This window comes from Homo sapiens, chromosome 17 (genome assembly GCF_000001405.40).
Source record: "Homo sapiens chromosome 17, GRCh38.p14 Primary Assembly".
Lineage (NCBI taxonomy): Eukaryota > Metazoa > Chordata > Mammalia > Primates > Hominidae > Homo > Homo sapiens.
The window spans coordinates 48,484,311-48,489,700 of NC_000017.11; the positions used below are offsets into that span (position 1 = coordinate 48,484,311).

At 45.0% G+C, this 5,390-nt stretch overlaps 1 long non-coding RNA gene across 1 annotated transcript; it reads right to left on the minus strand.

The window, feature by feature from the left end:
* Nucleotides 2,622-4,659, minus strand: LOC124904019 (uncharacterized). Its single transcript, XR_007065828.1, has 2 exons — nucleotides 4,575-4,659; nucleotides 2,622-2,796 (listed from the first exon to the last, which is right to left on the minus strand). It is a non-coding gene; the product is annotated as an uncharacterized LOC124904019 (long non-coding RNA).
* Between the last annotated feature and the right edge of the window lie 731 nt (nucleotides 4,660-5,390).

The following is a 5,390-nucleotide window of genomic DNA, read 5'->3' on the forward strand; positions in this document are numbered from 1 at the left end:
GTGTCCCGACTCTAAGCCTGGTGCCAGTTGCAGAAAACAAAAGCCCAAGGCCTGAAAGATAAACTTGGCCTCCTTCAAAATCTGATGGGGGCTGGCACTTTCTGCCTTCAGAATATTTGTTTCCACCAGGAGTGAATCTCAGTTCTTGGCTGTGAGCAGTTGCAGAGGTCACATGAGTGGACAAAAAAGGAATGTGAGTGAGAAGGGAGATGGGGTGAAGATCTTCCTGAACAATGACTTAGCGAGGACAAGTCTGAATCTCCAACTTCATCAGACTCTGTGAACGGTGTTAAATCTTGACTTAGGGGCTATGGGCTTTTGCCTCTCTTTGTAGCCACAGTTGCCCAAAGAGAACTAGTAATGCTGTTATCTTCAGATGCAAAGGATAACACATTAGTAAATTATTCCTTGCTTATACTTCTAATGTCACATTCCCCTTGTCTTATAGTTGTTTTGTGATGAAAGAAACTAATGGGATCTTAGAATCAGACCTGGGTTACATGGCTTAAACTTTTTAAAAAAAATTTAATTGTGGTAAAATATGCATAACATAAAATTCACCATCTTAATGATTGTTAAGTGTATAGTTTAGCAGTGTTAAGTATATTGACGTTATATTGCAACCTTTTTTCATCTTGAACAACTGAAGCTGTACCCATTAAACAACGGTTCCTCATTCTCCATTCCCTTTCAGTCCCTGACAACCACCACTCTACTTTCCATCACCATGAATTTGATGACTCATGAGTGGAACCACACAGTATTTGTCCTTTTGTGAATCACTTATTTCACTTAGCATAATGTCCTCACAAGGTTCATTCATGTTGTAGCACATGTCAAAATTTCTTTCCTTTTTTTTTTTTTTTTTTTTTTGAGATGGAGTCTCATGCTCTTTCCCCCAGGCTGGAGTGCAGTGGCATGATCTGGGCTCATTGCAACCTCCGCCTCCTGGGTTCATGCCATTCTCCTGCCACAACCTCCCGAGTAGCTGGGACTACAGGTGTGCGCCACCACGCCCAGCTAATTTTTTGTATTTTTAGTAGAGACGGCGTTTCACCATGTTAGCCAGGATGGTCTCGATCTCCTGACCTCATGATCTGCCTGCCTCGGCCTCCCAAAGTGCTGGGATTACAGGCGTGAGCCACCATGCCCGGCCTTCAATTTCTTTCCTTTTTAAGGCTGAATAATATTCCATTTTATGGATATGCCACATTTTGTTTATCTATTTATCCACTGATGGACACTTGGGTTGCTTCCACTTTTTGGCCATTGTGAATAATGCTGCTATGAACATGGGTGTACAGATATCTTTTTGAGACCCTGACTTCCTCAATTCTTTTGGATATATATCCAGAAGTAGAACTGGTGAATCCTATGGTAGTTCTATTATCAAGTTTTGGAAGAATAACCATACTGTTGGCTTAAACTTATTGGGCTTTTATTTTCCTCATCTATAAAGTAGACTTGAGGTTGTTGTGAGTATTAAAGAAATCATGTGCATAAAGCTCTTGGCTCAATGCCTGGTACATGGTTGAAATTTAAGAACTGGTTGTTTCCTATGAACTCTTGAAGACAGAGACTGTTTCATTTCGGTATCTAACCATTTAGCATGGCGCCAGACATATAGTAGGGGTTCACTATATGACTGTTAGTGAATGAATGAATAATGAACAAACATATCCTTGTAACTTTGAAGTATGGCCGGGAGCAGTGGCTCATGCCTGTAATCCCAGTACTTTGGGAGGCTAAGGCAGGCGGATCACCTTAGGTCAAGAGTTCGAGGCCTGGCCAACATGGCGAAACCCTGTCTCTACCAAAAATACAAAAATTAGCTGGGCATGGTGGCAGGCACCTGTAATCCCAGCTACTTGGGAAGCTGAGGGAGGAGAATCACTTGAACCTGGGAGGCAGAGGTTGCAATGAGCCGAGATCGTGCCATTGCACTCCAGCCTGGGAGACAAGAGCGAGACTCCATCTCAAAAAAAAAAAACAAAAAAAACCTTTGAAGTACATAGAATAATTCCTGCACATTGTGGGTGTTTAATAAATTTCAAATGAATGCATGTAATAATCCTATATGAAGCCTACTTCTTCTGCATCCTACTTCATGAGAAAAGGAATTTGCTCATGTCCCTAAAGTTCCTGAAGGACAATTCAGAATCAAGTATTTGACCTACTCCCAACTTTCTGGGGATCCTCCTCTTTCACCATTCATGGCAAATTCTACTGTGCAAGGGATACAAAGGAGGAAGATCTCCATGTGAGAGTAACCGAGCACTTCAGTCTGCACTGTGCTTGCTAAGTTTTCTCTCTTTCTACCATGTTCACAGAACACTTGCTGTGAGCTCCAAAGCATGTTGAAGAGCGGGGCTGTCCATGTTGAATCCTGTTAGTCATGCAGCTGAGGGAATTCCAATCACCTGACCCGGGTCTGACCGCAGTTACCAGTCTCAAGTCTGAGCAGCGTCTCCAGTGCTGGGCTGCCTTCTTGACTCCAGGAGGCATGCCTGCTCTTACAATGAAACTCAAGTCTTTTTTTTTCCTTCCCACAAGTTTGGCTTCTACTTTTCTAAGTGCTGTTCATCATATACTCTGTGTTGTAAGTACTCAGCTCTCTAGCATCTCTTTATACTACCTTTTATTCTTCTGGAATATCCTTCCTTCCCACCCACAAGCATATTAGGCAAAACTTGCCCACCGTGGTAACTGGAAACAGGACTGAGGGGAAGGAAAACTCTCTCCCAGGTGCATGGAGTGGGAACTCATTTAGGGCATCTTTAGTGCCATACATAGAACCTGGAATACAATAGGAGCTCAATTAATACATGTTAAATGGATAAATATTGGTTAAATGCATCATGTTTCTATACAATTCTCTTTAAACTATAAACTCCCCAAGCACAAAGTTAAGAACTATGTCTCTCTTATCAGACAAGATGCCTCCTAACCCAGATTATACAGGAGCATTGTGAGGGCAAGCCCATGCCAACTCCACATTCTGTGAGCTCCCAAAACTCCACCAAGGACCTTGCTTAATGATGACTTAGACCAGGGTTTCTCGACCTCAGCATTATTGACATTCTGGGCCAGATCCTTCTCTGATGTAGGGAGCTGACTGGTGCATTGTAAGATGTTCAGGGACATCCCTGGCCTTTACCCACTAGATGCCCATAGCAACCCCCTCCCAGTTGTGACAACCAAAAATGCCTTCAGATAACAACAGATATCCCCTGTGTTTGGGGGAATGAAGAGGTACAAAATCACTCCCTGTTGAGAACTACTGACTTAGACTGAAGCAAAACACGAAGGGATTTCTCTACTTTTTATTGCCTGTGGGAATGGAAAATATTTTTCTAGCAGAGAAGTTGAATATTTATTAGATTAAGAATTGGGCCGGGCACAGTGGCTCATGCCTGTAATCCCAGCACTTTGGGAGGCCGAGGCGGGCAGATCACAAGGTCAGGAGATCAAGACCATCCTGGCTAACACAGTGAAACCTCGTCTCTACTAAAAATACAAAAAATTAGCTGGGCGTGGTGGCGGGCACCTGTAGTCCCAGCTATTTGGGAGGCTGAGGCAGGAGAATGGCGTGAACCCAGGAGGCAGAGCTTGCAGTGAGCTGAGATCCGGCCACTGCACTCCAGCCTGGGCAACAGAGAGAGACTCCGTCTCAAAAAAAAAAAAAAAAATTGGGCCAGGCGCAGTGGCTCACACATGTAATCCCAGCACTTTGGGAGGCCGAAGCCGGCGGATCACAAGGTCAGGAGTTCGAGACCTGCCTGGCCAAAATGGTGAAATCCCGTTTTTACTAAACATGCAAAAATTAGCCAGGCATGGTGGCAGGTGCCTGTAGTTCCAGCTACTCAGGGGACTGAGGCAGGAAAATCACTTGAACCAGGAGGCAAAGGCTGCAGTGAGCCAAGATTGCGCCACTGCACTGCAGCCTGGGTGACAGAGTGAGACTCCATCTCCAAAAAAAAAAGAATTGATGAAAAATGTACTTCCAACTCCCAGGTGTTCTCAGAATTGAACCCGGGAGGACTCCAGGTGAGAAAATCTTTGCCAGGGACAAAATTTCCTTGTCTAACCATTGGAGTGCAGAACAGAGTGACAGAAGAGGGAAGTGCTAGAGGGTAAGGGCATGCCCCAACAGAAGTTACTGGAAACAGCAATTACTTTCCATTCCTTGGGACCTACTAGGGCTCTGAACCTGGATTCAAATACATAAAGGCCCACTATGGTTGGGGCCTACTTGCCTACTGAAATTGGAGTTTCAGAGACTGAGTGACCTTTCTGATATTGCACAGCACATCAGAGACAAAACCAGCACTTGAACTCCCTTTGAGTTAGACATCTGAAGGACAAGGGCATGTGGTGCATCCCCAGCTATCCAGTGCCTTTTCTTTTTTCTTTCCCAATCCAGTGACCCCTCTGATTGTAGGATAACAGACCAGACAGGCAAAAGGTATCTGTGGGTGATCTTTGCTTGGGGGTAGGGTTGGGTAGGGGGCAGAGCTGCTCACAACAGCAGGCCATTTCCCAAGATGCTCAGGGTTGCTGGCTTCTGCACTCACCATCTCACTTTCTGGTTGCTGCGTGGAGATAAGCTATCGACTTCTGCACAGGATCAACCAAGGAAGTCAGGAGGGTGGGGAGGCCCTGGCGGCTGGCAGGAAAGGGCTGGCAGAAAAAAAAAAAAAAAAAAAGCAAAGCATCCTGGGGACAAAACTGCTGACTGGACTGCTAAGAGACAGGAGGGAAGAAAAAGGAGAATCAATGCAAGGGGAGAACATTGGAAAAGCAGGAAAGGCAGAAAGACCCACAAAACCTAAAGAGACTCAGCAAGGCAGAAATCAGGAGAGTTTTCCCCTTTCTATTAAAAATGTATTTTCTCGGCCAGGTGCAGTGGCTCACACCTGTAATCCCAGCACTTTGGGAGGCCGAGGTGGGCGGATCACCTTAGGTCGGGAGTTTGAGACCAGCCTGGCCAACATGGTGAAACCCCCTCTCTACTAAAAATACCAAAAATTAGCCGGGCGTAGTGGCGGGTGCCTGTAATCCCAGCTACTCAGCAGTCTGAGACAGGAGAATCACTTGAGCCCGGCAGGCGGAGGTTGCAGTGAGCGGAGATCATGCCACTGCACTCCAGCCTGGGCAACAAGAGCGAAACTCCGCCTCAAAAAAAAAAAAAAGTATTTTCTCATCTACCTGTAGATATGTCATTTTAAAACATGCTTTTCTTCTGCCTTGGCCTTCAAAGAGTGAATGCAAACCAAATATTCTTAAAATGCATTTGTGATCCAATAAACAAAGGGTCAAGTCTTCAACAGTGATTTACTATGTGACTTCTGGAAAGTCACTCAACTGTACTGAGGCTTTATGCCTCTCTT